Consider the following 15,641-nt stretch of genomic DNA (forward strand, 5'->3'; position numbering starts at 1 on the left):
CACATAATTGCCCATTAAAAGAATAAAGTTAATTCTCTTTTTCCCTCAAGACTGTCAACGCAGCATTTGTTCTGTTTAATGTTACTTTGGATTACTAAGAGACATAAAAATCCCCAAACATAAACATCATTAAACAAAAACCTATTCAAGTGGAATACAAAACACACTGAAGAGTCATCATTAATTCCTTAAAGTTTTTCTTTCGTTGTTTTTTTTTGTGTGTGTGTTTCTGTTTTTCCTTTTTAAACAACTCCACCCAAAACTCAAAGCACAAACAGTCAAATACAGATGAAAACAATCAACCTCTCTCCAATTTGAGCTACAAAAATAGATGCCTTGGGCATCAATGCTCTGGGTTTATAGGGATCAGGTACTTGCTGGTCTAAAAGCTGAATCAACTTGGTCATTTTAACTTTGTTTATATTGTTTCCTAAAATATTGGGTTTGAATTGAATTAAATATAATTCAACTGTGAGCAGCATAAATCTGAAAGGACAGAAGCACCTATATGTCATTTAAAAAATGCACTTATATGTAGTTTAAAAATTTGTGTCACATCCTTGAGCATGTGACACAAGTTTCAATCAAAGTACTTTGCAGTCTTACCGGACATTGCTCATGATGCCCCAGGACTGTCTGCTTATCTCTACATTCTCCAACCTCCAAGCCTGGCTTTCAGCATAGAATCCCAGAACCAGAGAGCTGGGAAAGTCAGACAGGACAAGAAAAAGGCCCAAGTTGTTTAAACAAACCATAAGATGGTTATACCCTCTACATATGAAACTCTTAAAAGAAATAAAAGAACAGTGAAAAGAAAAGAACAGGGATGTCTTAAGAACAGCTTAAGTCTGCATCCTGGCTCCCCCTTAAGCAGCTGTGCAACTCTGGGCAAGTTATTAAACTTTCTGGGCCCAAATTCCTATAATATTTACCTCAAGGTGCTGCTTCTAGGATTAAATGAGGTAACTTCTATGAACTTCCTGGACTAAATCTCTTATTTAAAACCAAAGCCCTAGTCAGTGAGCCTAAGGACTAAACGTTGACCTCAATACATATTTTGTTCTGTCCCTGCAAGGAAAGCCTGCTGGAGATACTCTGTTTTGTGCCGCAGGATTATAAGTCACATGTGAGGTATTGATAGCCAGGAGATGTGCTGACCAAAGGCTTCCATTAAATAAGAGTGTGCTGTGTTGCCTCTCTCAGTCTGTGTATTTTCATGAACTGTTGTAACAAGGGACACAGCAAAGAGAGCAAGCTAAATTATAAATTGCTAAAGCAATGAGCTCAAAATCATGAAAAACACCCAGAATTTAAATGTTCCTATGTGTATAAATGCATGCCTAAATATTAACATAAGGCTAAGTGAAGTCATAAAACTGAAAAATTTGTTACAAAAATCATTCCCCATTTTGCTCAAAAATTTAGATGTCTTTACATTTTAAATAGATAATCATCTGCCTACATTTTTCCCCCTACCTAAGTGGGAAATAACATAGCAGATTCCATGATTATCACTGTACAATGTCTCTGAAATAAATGTGCCCACCTCCCTTCAAAGCTAAATAGAGCAACTCCATATATTACCCATCCTGGTTCTTGCAAGATCTCTTTACACTTTGCCTCATGCTTGTTGTATCAAATCCTACATCATCAATCACCTTGCAAATCTAAAACCAGCAGCTCTCCCCGAGTGTACTCATAGGTCCAGTGAGAGAAAGCCAACATCAGCTCCTCCAGGGTGTTGGTGGGGGTGATTTCATCACCATTGTTGTTGTTATACTTCCGGAACTCCCCTGTCATATACTTCTCAATGGTCAACCACTGGTTGGCTGAATGGCAGTAGATTAAGAAAACTTCCAGGAACCTGTTAGGGAAAAAGAGGCCATTGATCCCCCACAATACAGCAAAAGTGGGACTTACCTTACTGAGCAGTCATCAGCAGGGAAGATTACCTAACTCTGGTATGATGCAGCCTCAATGCACATGCCCTTGCCCTTTCTATGGAAGGGATAGGATGCAAATATTGGGAATTTTTCTTTCCATGCTTACCCACCTCCCTTTGCTTTGAGGTAACTTTCCAACTCTTTTATGAGTACCAGACCCAACTCTTCTTGCTGTGCTCTATAAAGTTCCTTGTAAATGAAAGAATGAAGCTTTACTCTGTCCAGCACCAAATTATGATCTGTGTCTCAATAAATGAATGCAAGTGTATGAAGACACTCAAGTGAAAGTAACATGAGTTTATTCTTACAAAATTCCTACTTTCTATAAGATATTGGGGGAAGAGACCATGCTTACAATAAGAATAATTTTTCTACCATAATGCCCCTGGACATTAATAACACCCAAGATCTGTCTGTTTCCCATAACTGAAATCTTAGTTACAGCCTCTGAACCTCTTTTTTCCACTCATGTTTAAGTCCAGTGATTAACACCAAGGTATCTCTGGGGTCTCTAATTCTCCTTTTGCCAGTCTCCGAAATTATGGAAGGAAGAATCCAAAAATAAGATCATGGGGAATTTCCCCATGGATAAGATTTCTCATGAGTAATGGGCTGAGAAGACGTGATAGAAATTCCTACTTGAAACAAAGGGCCAAGGTGCCAAGATTTTCTTACCTTGGTGTGTAGGGTATGGTTTGTGGTTTCACTTGGTTGAAGGTATAGATCAATTTTTGAGCAGCTCTTTGTTGTTGAATTTCCTACAAAATAGGGAGCACTGATAAAAATACTGATTTACTGTTGTACAGCTATGATCATGAAATTACTATAGGCTACCCCAATGTGATTTTTAGCCTTATTCAACTCCCACCACTGCCTGCCCCAAAAGCAAAAGTCCTACAAAGCAATACTACCTCTAAAAAATAATAGGCTCCCCTTTGGGTTGAGGATAATGGCCTTAGATAAGGATGTAGCCAGATCTCTTTTCTTTGACTTGTCCCTCTGGGCTATGGGTCTCTGAGTTTCAGACTTACCCTGAGGCAAAGATGAAGCACAGTGCTCTCCTGGAAGATTTTATGCCATGTCCGCACAACCTCAGGAAGAAAGGACTTGACAATGAAAACTTGTCCCGGCTTGAGAATGTCATCCTCAGACCAAGTGCTGACGACTCTCATAGCTTTACGGAGGCCCCCATCCATCTCCTCTCGGGACAATACCTGGATCATTGCCGCTCTCCCACGCTGAGACCAAGAGGACATGCTTTTATCAAGGTTTAAAGGGGAACTCTCCTCCAACCTGTAGACAGTTATTTCTTCTCCTGCTGCAAAGAGAAGTGAAGGCTAGGAATTCAATAAGATTGCCATGTCTGTGACATGAATAGTATCCTAAATATCAATGCAGAATCAGTTCAGTTACCCAAATGACCAGAGGAGAATGGGACTAGCAGGGAACAGAACAGAATAAGGACATGTATCAGGCTGGCCATGTTTCCATGTTATTTATTGTCTAGTAGATGTGGGGAAGGGGAGAAGGGACAAATATCAGAGGATACAAAAGAATTAAGCTGTTCTTACTGTAGACTATAACTGGACAAAAACAAAGTGGTAAGGATATGCTTCTTTTGTTAAAGACAAATACTTCTAAAGAGACGGTTTAACCTGATGGTGTTGCTTATTATCATCCTCCTAAGGAGCCTAATTAGACATTCTTTTCTAATTGTTCTTCTCACAACCTATTAATACAGGTTGCATATCCCTTATCCAAAATGCTTAGGACCAGAAGTGTTTCAAATTTTAGATTTTTTCAGATTTTTGGAATATGTGCATATACATAATGACATATCTTGGGGATGGGACCCAAGCGCAAACACAAAATTCATCTTTTTCATATACACCTTATACATATAGCCTCATAGTAATTGTATACAATATTTTTAATAATCTTGTGCACAAAACAAAGTTTTGACAGTGTCTTGACTCTGACCTGTCACATGAGGTCAGTTGTGGGAGTTTTCCACTTGTGGCATCACATTAGCACTCAAATAGTTTCAGCCTTTGGAGCATTTTGGATTTCAGGTGGATTTCAGCTTGAATTTAATACAAGCTCAACTTGTATTAAAAATATTCTGTATATCTGTTTATGTGTACTCTGTAGATCTGTGCTTTATATCATAAAAAAACTTATTTTTTTCTAGGGGTGATATTACTTCATTGAAAATGCATGGTTTAACTCAGCTGGAGTCAAACAGTACCAATGTCATACCCCAGAGCCTCTCCTTCCTTCCCTTGTGCCTTTGGACGAGTTACTTAAAGCCTCAATTTCCCCATCAGAAAAATGGGGATGAAAATACTGTTCTCATTGGGCTGTTGTAAAGGTTAAATAGGCTAACATGTCTAAAGTGAATTACAACCTCAGATACAAACTCAATCCCACTTAAAGGATTTTAGACACAAAATACTACTTAACTGCTACATAGCTTCCACTTTTAGGCTGTTGAAGAGGGAAAAATTCCTGTTGAACCTAAACACTACCAAGTCAGTGTTTAATGTTTCTTAACAGAGCAACATAATCTATATACAACTTCTGTCCAGCCCCAGCTGGTGTTTCATTTCCCCCTTACACCTTTGCTTCTATATATATATAGAAGCATATATATATATATGAACACGGTACTGGTTTACCAAGAAAGGAATCCATTCTCTCCCTCTTGCATCTAATTCCTCACCAATAAACACATCTAGGTAATGCTCAGTAACAACTTTTCAAACCTTTCAAATATTTATTCTTGGTGCCCAGATAAATGCCACTGAAGATCTCTTTGGAGTTCTAAATCCCTAGAGGCTTTAGAGCAGAGCTATTGATTTGCAAAGCCAGCCATGGGGCCAAATGGAAGGGGAAGGCATCTGCATTAACAATCAGAAGCCAGGCCGGTGCGGTGATTCTGTAATCCCAGCACTTTGGGAGTCTGGGGCGGGTAGATCACCTGAGGTTAGGAGTTTGAGACCAGCCTTAGTAACATGGTGAAACCCCATCTCTACTAAAAATACAAAAATTAGCTGGGCGTGGTGGTGCACGCCTGTAATCCCAGCTGCATGAGAGGCTGAGGCAGGAGAATCACTTGAACCCAGGAGGCAGAGGTTAGAGTGAGCCAAGATCCCGCCATTGCACTCCAGCCTGGGCAACGAGAGTGAAACTCCATCTCAAAAAAAAAATAAAAATAAAAATAAATAAATAAAAACAATCAGAAGCCAACCTGGTCTGCCCCCATGTGAACAGTGTGAGAAGAATCAAGATCAAGGACACTTTGGGGACCCTTGCTATATTGTCAACTTGCTCATGTCTTATCCTGCCAGACAGAGAAATTTTGATAGCTTTAGCCAGGGTGAGATTGTTTTTCTTTACTACTCCAGACTTTTAAAATGACATTTGCAGTCTGAGATAAGAGCAATTAGTGTACACAAAACAAAATAAACAAAAAACAATACACAAAGCATTTCTCTTCAGATGCCTGTTGGCTTTCACCATATTGACATTTATCGCTTTCTCCTGTGCTTATTATAAATGGTTGGTTTGTTCTTTTCTTTCCTACTTACTTCCAGCCTTGAGTCAGTGAATGCCAGGTGCAATATTATTGCTTTCTTCCCAACTGCTGCTCATTATAGGTCTTATTCCCATAGTATTAGCTTTTGTCCCTGAATGCTGGCCATGACAGTTAACAAGAATTTCCATTTTAGGAAATGAATCTCACTAAACTACAACTATCAACAAAACAAAATTTTCAACTAAAATAATGCAATGTGGTTTCCTTTGATTCACTCAGATTTTATGCCTCTGTCCTGGCATAAACTCAAGAAGGTAGAAATGCTACTCACCAAACAGTTGGACTGGTGTAAATGGTATGGTCTGAGAAAGCCTCATTAAATTATTCCTTTCAATGGCTGCAAACAAAAACAGATTTTCTATTTTAAGTATGCATCAGTGGCTGAATTTACAGAAAGCCTCTCCACATCAATATATTCATATAATGCTATTTAATTTCAAAGACCTCTTATTTTTGCCATTATCAAAAATATAATCTATAATACAGTCTTAAAAATAAACTATGCCTTAAACAGGAAAGAAATCCCAATTTTAGAGGCATTTAATATGAGATTATGTCACATGGTCTGAGGTAGGACTATCACCTCCACTCTCCTGAATACCAAATCACATACTAATCCATACATATGTGGAACTTTCTTTTAAATGGCATTTTAATCCGTGGACTTTGGTTTTCCTTTCCGAAGCAAATCCAAAGCACGGTGGGCTGTGGGGACACCTACTGTTCACTTTGCACAGTTCATCTTCTTTTTCCAGAGAGAGCCGAAGACCGATTTTAATTAGAAGCGAGTGATCTGCATTTTCCTGTTAAGAGCTATAGCCTAACAGATCAGAGTCAATATGAGTTACAGTATTCCTCACTAGAGACTTTCTTAAGTTGACAGCTGGAGTCAAAATAATAGATTACTGCCGAGCTGAAAGACTCAGTTGTAAGAGCCTGGGTTGAGGAGTCTGGAATCCACTGCAACTCTATTCACTACAAAGGAGAATTCAGGATAAGGCAATCTATTACTAGACCCTGAACAAACAACCTTATATAATTATAACAGTAATTATCGCACCAATAAGCTCTTACTCATGTATTGAGCTTTAGATTTGTAAAAGGCTTGCCCATGTATTATCTCATCCAATGCTGAGAGCAATGACTCCCAAGAAACCATCCAATGGCACAAGTCCAGTTGGTTTTTATATTGCTTTGCATTTCAAAGTGTTTTCCTCTTAATTCTCAACTAGCCCTTTGGCAGACTGTTCCTCAGGAAGGGCAAGTACAATTATTCCCACTTTGAAAGAAAGACAACTGAAGCACTGTGAAGTGATGTTGCTTAAGAGAGTCAAGACCCTTGACATCTTTGTTTAATAACATCTTTGTTGAACTCACTTTGTGGGGTTGGCCTTCATTCAGTGATCATACTCACTGAGGCCCCATTGAGGGTACAAAACCCTCCCTCAAGGAACTACTTTCAGGTCTGCCTTTTCCCCAGTCCAAAACATTGAGATCTCTGGCTTGGGGCTGCTTTGAGCGTGCAAAGAATTTTTAGATTTCAAGGTCATCTTTCTACTTTGCAATCTGGAACTTGAGAATGCAAACATTTTGCAAAAATGCAAATTCTCTTAAATTCTGAAAACTTGTTTTCCCAAGTCAATGGCAAAGTTAGAAATTGGAATGTTCTTCCCATCAAAGTGAACAATAACTTTTCAAGTCGCGAGCCATGTCAGTAACACAGAATTTGTCAGTGTTTCTGTTTACAAATGCAGAAGCACAGACATTTAGCTCAGCTGACATGTCTATGTGCATATGCATCCTACCTGAATAATGATGGTGAGGCTCTTGAGGGCTTTTTAAGGAGGCTGAGATCTCTGAAATTAGAGAGGAGATTGGCATTTTAATTACATGGCTGGAGATAAATACATGTTTATGAATATATTGCCTTCAAAGTTATTATTGAACAGGTTAATCAGAATGGCTTCTCAGTATTCGAAAAAGCTTGCCTAATATTTTTTAACCACAGTATTGCGCATGGTATCCTGACAGCTTCCAATCATCAATGTAATATCTCCAAACATATTTATATAGGGAATTGAAGAAAGGCAGGTAATATTAGCCTCAAAGATGTATTTCCTCTGAATCAATTACACCTCTGGGTTGCAGAAGGCACTCAGCTGCCCATCATACTTCACGACATCCCAGAAGCATGATTCTCTGAGCTCCCTACCAAGATGCAGTGCCCGTAGAAAGACAGTATTAATACCAAGTTATTAACAGACTACTTCACTGACCTAAAATAACAACAAAATGCTGAAAACACATTAAAAGCTATATACTGGAAACAAAGAAGAGGGTGGATAATATAGCACCAAGAGATTTGTTTGGTTATACAAGGACTATGTGTTGGGAACACCTCTTCCAAGTTTAACTCATTCTCTTCTGTCTGCTCCAGTCCTAAATTACAAGGCTCTAGAGAAATCCCTTGCAACAGTTTTGCTATTTCATAAAATCAAAATTAAAGTGGAGAACTTTGGTCTCATGATGGCAACTGTTTTATACCTCGCAGAGTAAGCAGCATAATGAGCCCAATTTCGCAGATCTCTCTGGGTTTTTGTTGCTGGATAAGGAAAGGAACGAGAATCACTTCCTTTAGGGAGTGTTGGCAAAAAGTAAGATCAGCAGAAAAGACTGTTTCTTTCTGAAGTCATCAATAAAAACAAAAAGTATTCCTCTCCCACTATGGATCATACTAGGCATGAGAGATATGGGTAAGGTGTGGTTCCCACCCTACCGAAAAGCAAATGTATTAGGAGAGAGAGACAGGTAACTATAATCACAATACAGTTAAAGTAATATACGTAATAAAGGTATATACAGAGGTTTATGGAACACATTAATTCCACCTGGAAGGTAGGGCCTTCATAAACAGTGTGAAATGCTTAAAGTGTATGGGCATCTGAGTCTGATAAAACTGAGTTTCAGTCCTGGCTTCACTGCTTAAGGAGCTGTGAGACCACATTGGTATTTATTCAATATACATTTATTGAGTACCTACTATGTGCCAGGCACTGGTCTATGCTCAAGAGGAAGAGCAGTAATCAAAACAGATAAAGTCTCTAGTTCCATTCTAGTAAAAGGAAATAGAAAATAAATATATAGTGCATATAGTATAGTGTGTGTGTGTGTGCGTGTGTGTGTGTGTGTGTGTGTATGCATCAACTTAAGAGAGTTAGAAAGCATGGGGAAAGGAAAGTTGCTGTTTTATATAGGGTGGTTAGGCAAAGCCTCTCTCATAAGGTGAAATTTGAGCACAGAGTTGAAGGAAGAGAGGGGCAGCAATATGTATAAATGAAGAGTATTCCAGTGATAAGTAACAGCAAGTGTGAATGCCCTGGGGCAGGTCCATGCTTGTCATGTTTAAGGAGAGTGTAGCCACAGTGAAATGCACTGACAGAAATGAGGTTGAGGGGTGGCTGGAAAGCAGAACAGAGTATTGTAGACTCTGTTTGGACTTTGCTTTTGCAAAGTGAGGAGGAATGCCATTTGAGCAAGAGTGACTCAGTTCAACTTTCAGTTTAAAAGGATTATTCTGGCTGTTTCTGGAAAAAAGACTACTAGAGAACAATAGTTTGGAGGCCATACTATAATCCAAGGAAGAGATTACAACTGCTTAAAAATGGTATTATGGCCAGGCGCGGGGGCCCACGCCTGTAATCCCAAAACTTTGGGAGGCCGAGGCGAGCAGATCACGAGGTCAGAAGATTGAGACCATCCTGGCTAACACGGTGAAACCCCATCTCCACTAAAGATACAAAAAATTAGCCGGGCGTGGTGGGTTCCTGTAGTCCCAGCTACTCGGGAGGCTGAGGCAGGAGAATGGCATGAACCCAGGAGGCAGAGCTTGCAGTGAGCTGAGATCGCGCCACTGCACTGCAGCCTGGGCGACAAAGTGAGACTCCATCTCAAAAAAAAAAAAAATGGTGTTATGTGGAAATGGCAAAACATTATCAGAGTCTTGATATATTTTGAAAGATTTACTGATAGATGGGATGTAGGGATGTGAAAAAATGGAAGACAAGTATTCCAAGACTTTGGCCTGAGGAACTGGGAGGATAGAGTTGCCATTTCCTGAGATGAGAGAGGACAGTGCTGGAACATTTTGTTTGAGACACCTTTTAGACCTCCACATGGAGATGTTACTATGTGGTCAGTCATATTCTGCAAGGCAGAAATAATGAATGAAAGGGATCATGCCTATGGGCCTGGAAATTTGAATTGAGATCCAGCTTTCAAGAGCATTGAGGAAAAACTCAGGGGTTTGCAGTCTACCTTTGGGTAACAGGGAGCCATTGAAGGCTTCTACCTGAGTGATGATTTAGCATTCATAAAGATAATTCTGATAGAAACATAGGAAAGTTTAAAAGGAGACAAACCAATCAGACTAAGACAAACTCAAGGGCAAACGAAAGCATACACTTCTGTTTTGGAAAATAAATAATGGTGGCTTTAAGGCAGGAGCAGTAGGGTAGACCAAACAGATCACTCTGAAGATGAGGGGGTGGGGAGTGGCGGGGGAGGGACGGAGTTAGAAGGCAAGGTTAATAGCTAAGAGCAATGGGGTGGGAAGGAGATTGTAAATGACTTAAGATTTCCAGCTTGCACGAAGGAACAAGAGGCTCTCAGAAAGACCAAAATAAGTCGACAAAGAAGTAGAACAGCCAAAGAAGAAGAGCCTCAAGGAAACATAGAAAAGAGAGGGTGCCATGAAGGAAAAATGGCCAATATCAAATGCCATGAGTTCAACAAGAACTGAGAAGAGTCAAGTGAGTTAGCAGTTGTAGTGGAGTTTCAGAAAAGTGATGGGGCACACCCCATGGGCTAAAGATCAAATGTTAATTGCTCTTTCAATTAATTTGGAGGTGAAGGGTTGGAGTGGTAGCTTGAAAGCTAGGTAAATCAAGAAAAAGACTATTTGTTTCCTTTGTATAGAAACAACCTAAATTTGTTAGTAGGCTGAGGAGAAGGAATCAACTGCAAAGGAGGTGGGGGAGTACTGGAAACCCAAGAAAGTGTGATGGAACAAGAACACAGAAGATGAAGGTGCCTTTACATCAAGGAGTCAAGAATATGGAAAGGAGTTTGTAAATTGTAGTCAAGTTTGAGAGTAATTATAGTGGCTTTACCAGGGAGCTGTCTCACATGACCTAATCCTATTTAGCCATTTGGGGCCCCAGATCTTACTAAAACCCTACAGGAAAAGGCACCCATATAACAATCTTATAAATGGCTCTTAATGAGTAATGTGTGAAAAAACAAAAGGACAGTAAGAGTTGGTGAGCAAAATGAGCTCAGTGGTTATACTCTCATTCACACAGAAAATGGAGAAATAACAGTCAGAAACAGTCATTCAAAAAGTTTTAAACCAGACATCAATCCCAATTTGTCTGAAGAAAGATATTCAACTTTCTACTCTTCTACTGAACTTTCTACATTGCATGATGGACAAAAATCATAAATACAATTTCAAGAATGACAAAAATATCAGCAGGACAGTGAACCTCGCATTAAAAAGATGAAAAAATAAAAAATAAAATGTTTAAACAGAAAAACTTACTGTCAACTCCAATTGAACTTTTCAGCCTGTTTGAAAAAAAAATGAAGTTGTTTAGATAATGCTGCCTTAAATCTTACAGTTATCAAAAAAAGGAAACAGCACATGGAACAGTAACAACACAAAGTATATATTTTATATACATGTGAAATACATATACAGTCATGTACTGCCTAATGATGTTTTGGTCAACAACAGACAGCATATATTACAATGGTCCCATAGATTATAACAGAGCTGAAAAATTCCCAACACCTAGTGATGTCTTAGCCATCATAATGTCACAGCGCAATGCATTACTTATGTGTTTGTAATTATGCTGGTGTAAGTAAGCCTACTGTGCTGCCAGTCATATAAAAATATAGTACATACAACTATGTACAGCACATAATACTTGATGATCATGATGGATGACTATGTTACAGGTTTATGTATTTATTATATTATGCTCTTTTTCATTCTTTTAGCATGTACTCCTTATATTTATGTTTTCTTTTTAAGTTAACTGTAAACAGCCTCTGGCAGGTCATTCAGGAGGTATCCAGAAGAAGGCATTGTTATCATAGGAGGTGACAGCTCCATGTGTGTTATTGCCCCTGAACACCTTCCAGTGGGACAAGATGAGGAGGCAGGAGACAGTGATATTGATGATCCTGATCCTGTGTAGGTCTAGGCTAATGTGTGTATTTGTGTCTTCATATTTTTAAAAAGTGTAAGAAGTGAAAATAAATAAATAATTTAAAATCAGAAAATGGCTTCTAGAATAAGGATATAAAGAAAGAACATATTTTTGTACAACCATACAATGTATTTGTGTTTTAAGTGTTATTGTAAAAGAGTCAAAAAGATTTTTAAATGTTTTACAGTTTATCAAGTAAAAAAGTTACGGTAAAGCTAAGGTTAATTGGTTATTTTAAAAAGAAAAAAATTATAGAAATTTAGTGTAGCCTAAGTGTACACATAAAGTCTCCGCTTGTGTAGAGTAATGTCCTGGGCCTTCACATTCTTTCAGCACTCACTCACTCTGACACCCAGAGCAAGCTTCCAGTCCTGCAAGCTCCATTCATTGTAAGCATCCTATACAGGTGTACCATTTTTTATCTTCTATACTGTATTTTTACTGTACTTTTTTTGTGTTTAGTTACACAAATACCATAGCTTACAGTAGTCAGTACAGTAACATACTGTACAGGTTTGTAGCTTAGGAACAATAAGCTAAACCATATAGCCTAGGTGTGTAGTAGGTTAGACCATCTAGGTGTGTGTAAATGCACTCTACGATATTTGCACAACGATGAAATCACCTAATGACACATTTCTCAGAATGTATCCTGTCGTTAATTGATGCATGACTGTATATATATTTGAAAGAGAAGTATTAGTTACATCTAATCCCTATAGTATCAATAAAGAAGTAACTTTTCAGCGCTGCAAGTGTTTTTATAGAAAAATGAGCACCAGATATGTATGTAAGTCATTTACTGTGTACATCCTAAGCTAATTGAAAAGCAGTTGTTGTTTTTTAATTAGCTTTGTGATCACACAATATATATAAGATGTAACTGTGTTTGTGTTCTTCTGGATCAATTAAACTAAAGGATTCCTGAACTATGCAAAGCAGATGCCTACAAATGAGTCTGTGAATGTCTCTGGACAAGCCTACAAATCAGTTTCATTAGCCCACGTGGCTGCTAAATGTTCACAGGCTGAAATTAGTTCTCTTTAAACTGTTACTTGCCCTGCTCAAATGCACAAGTGGCCACAGGCGAGTCTGAATAAATACATTCAAATAATATCTTCAGCATTTAAGGTCCTTAAGAAAGAAAGTACAATTACGATTATTGTTCAATTTCATGCTGCAATAAACCCCTACTCTGCATGAGCACAAACTACTGAACCTTTGGGAGAAGAAAGTCATGTGTCCTTTAAGTCTGGAGGCAGGCTTGCACAGGGTCCATGATGGGAGCCCTAGAGAAAGACCATCTCTAAACAGAGCTGACTGCAAACTGAAAGTCACCTTCTACCTGCTGGGTATCAACTGGCACTTCCATAGAGTAGATGGTTTTGAATTCTACCTGTATGAATAGTTAATGTGATGATGCAACTAGGAAAGTCCAGAAAATACTACAAATAAAATAGAATTATCTTTGCTTGGTTGATTTACAACTTTTATTTCTCTAGATATATACTAATAAAATTCCAGGAAGACACTCAAGTGAGTTCTCTATCTTCTTTCTCTCTCCAACCAGTCTTCCTCTCCCTCTCTGTCTCAATCTTTCTCAGAGTTATTGCTTTGATGATTAGCATGCTACTGAGAAACCAAAAACAAAAAAGATATGCCTTATAAACTAAAAGGAAAAAATAATTATTTTTAAAATTAAAGAATAAACGTAATCAGGTGTTCAGTCTAAGTCTGTTTCTTTAAGCAAGACAGACTGATTTCTACTCTTTTATGCAAATTCACAATCTTATCTATCCAAAAAGATATGATAATCATTATTCTATGTGTGTTTTGACACTGAAAAGGCAAATGTTTAATTTGTTGTAGGAGTATGTGTTTCGTTATATTCTTAAAAGGAACTCAGGTGAGATCTTGTTGCCAGAAACAGGAAAACTTGGAGAAGAAATCATTTTCATTCTGCTAACAAGAGAAAAGTATTGTCATTTGACACACACTTCTTTTCTCTCCCTTTCTGACTAAATTAAACCTTTGCTCCTAACCAAGTTAAAAAAATGGAAGCCAAAGATTCTTAAACATAAACATTTAGAAATACTCACAGGGAGTTCCTATTGAGGTTGGTGCTCCTGGAATTCCACAAAGAGTTTTTGCTGAGATCCTGAGCAGAAGGGAAAGGCCGTTACGTGTGTGCTCAACATAGTCCCACCCCAAGTTTCTAGGAATGATCTGCCAAACACGCTCCTTGGAGAATCCTTCTTTTTTCTTCATCTACCTGAATATTCTTCTTTTAAAAAACATACTAAACCCAAGCTAGAAAGATGCATAATGTTAGAGCAATGTCAGAGTTACTCAGTGTGTTGATGGACTTTAACAGAATGAAATTACCTTTAAGGAGATATCAAACAGAAAATGTAATATATGAAATTTTTTACAGACTGAACATAGAAAATCAGGACTAAACATACACAATCAGTTAATCAGGACTGAACATACACAATCAGCTAATGACATGGAGAAAAATGAAAGTACAAGTTGACAGACAACACGGATCATCACATTGTTATGTCTTATGAAAAGATTCTCATCTCAGGTCATGATGATTATTTAAAATAACATTACCTTGGATTTACCTCATTTGATTTCCTACTCAAATTCAATTATTTCCTGAGACTTAGTATACTCCAGGCATTACTCTAGGTAGGCCTTTTCATAGTTGTTATTTTTGCTGTCCATTAGCAATAATCTTATAAGGATGGCATTAGTCCCACTTTAGAGATACAGGTAATGAAGCTCATAGGTTAACTGATGTACATAGCTTTGAAACGTAGAAAGTGGCAGAGCCAGAATTTGAACACAGGTCCCTGCTTCCAATTACCCTCAAGTAGTCTGACACTTTACTTTGAAAATCTTTCACAGATGCTATTCCTACAAGAATATCTGAGGTTGTTAGCCATAAAGGTCATGTCTCAACAGTTCTCAAGTTCAAACAGGTAATATTCAAACAAAGACTTAAAATTAGGTTTCTTGGGTTAAGCTAACTATTCACACTTCCCACGTGGCGGATGGCACAAAACAAGGCCCATATTTTTAGACAGCAAGAAAAACAGACTGCAAAACCGGAGAATCTCAGCATTGAAGAAACACTAAGGGTCTTTACCCTGCAAGGCTTGAATCCCCTCCATCATGCCTGCAAAGAGGTTTGTTCAGCCTATGCTTGACTGATCGCACTAGTGAGGGACTCACTACTTCCAGAAATAAATCATTCCATGCTTGGAAAGCTCCAATTGCTAAAAATTTCTTCTCAGATTGGGCTGAAATCTGTCTCCCAGTAGCTTCTATATGTTGATTCTAGATCTACCTCTTAAAAGTGTATAGAAAATAGCTTATTTTTCTTCCACATGACAACTTTCATATATTTGAAAACAGTTTCGAAAACTCCTGAATTCTTTCTCTCTCATGCTGAACATCCCCAGGATAAATTATTGAGTGGATAGGTAAATTGCATAAAGAAAAATGTCAAAGAAAGAATAATGTGGAGGGGATTGAAAAAATAGAACAGAAATTCAACTGAGCATAGCTTCAAAACAAAGATTAAGCAGACTGTCAATAAAAAGTAGAAGCCAATTAAGGGACATAAAGGTAAAATGGGCGTAGTCAAGAGTAGCACTGCATGCTCGAATGCTTTTTTTTTTAACTCCTAAAATATTTTTACCTCTTGAGACTGCTTTAGGTAATCACTGATTTGTATAGCACATTGTCCAATTTCTTTAGTTTTCATTTTCTGATGTATGTAAGGTTCTACACCTTGTAAAGAGGAAGAGAAAG

General features: G+C 38.1%; 1 protein-coding gene across 3 annotated transcripts in view; it reads right to left on the reverse strand.

Annotated features, from left to right (window-relative positions):
• The window catches only part of TRPM6 (transient receptor potential cation channel subfamily M member 6), a 165,427-nt gene that overhangs the window by 14,254 nt on the left and 135,532 nt on the right, over nucleotides 1-15,641 (reverse strand). For all 3 annotated transcript variants that reach the window (NM_017662.5, NM_001177310.2, NM_001177311.2), the window contains exons 29-36: nucleotides 15,529-15,620; nucleotides 13,916-13,974; nucleotides 11,141-11,166; nucleotides 7,347-7,397; nucleotides 5,813-5,878; nucleotides 2,975-3,261; nucleotides 2,619-2,701; nucleotides 1,659-1,864 (exon numbers count right to left, since the gene is read on the reverse strand). In NM_017662.5, coding sequence (NP_060132.3) covers nucleotides 1,659-1,864; nucleotides 2,619-2,701; nucleotides 2,975-3,261; nucleotides 5,813-5,878; nucleotides 7,347-7,397; nucleotides 11,141-11,166; nucleotides 13,916-13,974; nucleotides 15,529-15,620 — 870 coding nt within the window. The remainder of the gene's footprint in view (nucleotides 1-1,658; nucleotides 1,865-2,618; nucleotides 2,702-2,974; nucleotides 3,262-5,812; nucleotides 5,879-7,346; nucleotides 7,398-11,140; nucleotides 11,167-13,915; nucleotides 13,975-15,528; nucleotides 15,621-15,641) is intronic.

The sequence above is a fragment of the Homo sapiens genome, chromosome 9 (genome assembly GCF_000001405.40).
Source record: "Homo sapiens chromosome 9, GRCh38.p14 Primary Assembly".
Lineage (NCBI taxonomy): Eukaryota > Metazoa > Chordata > Mammalia > Primates > Hominidae > Homo > Homo sapiens.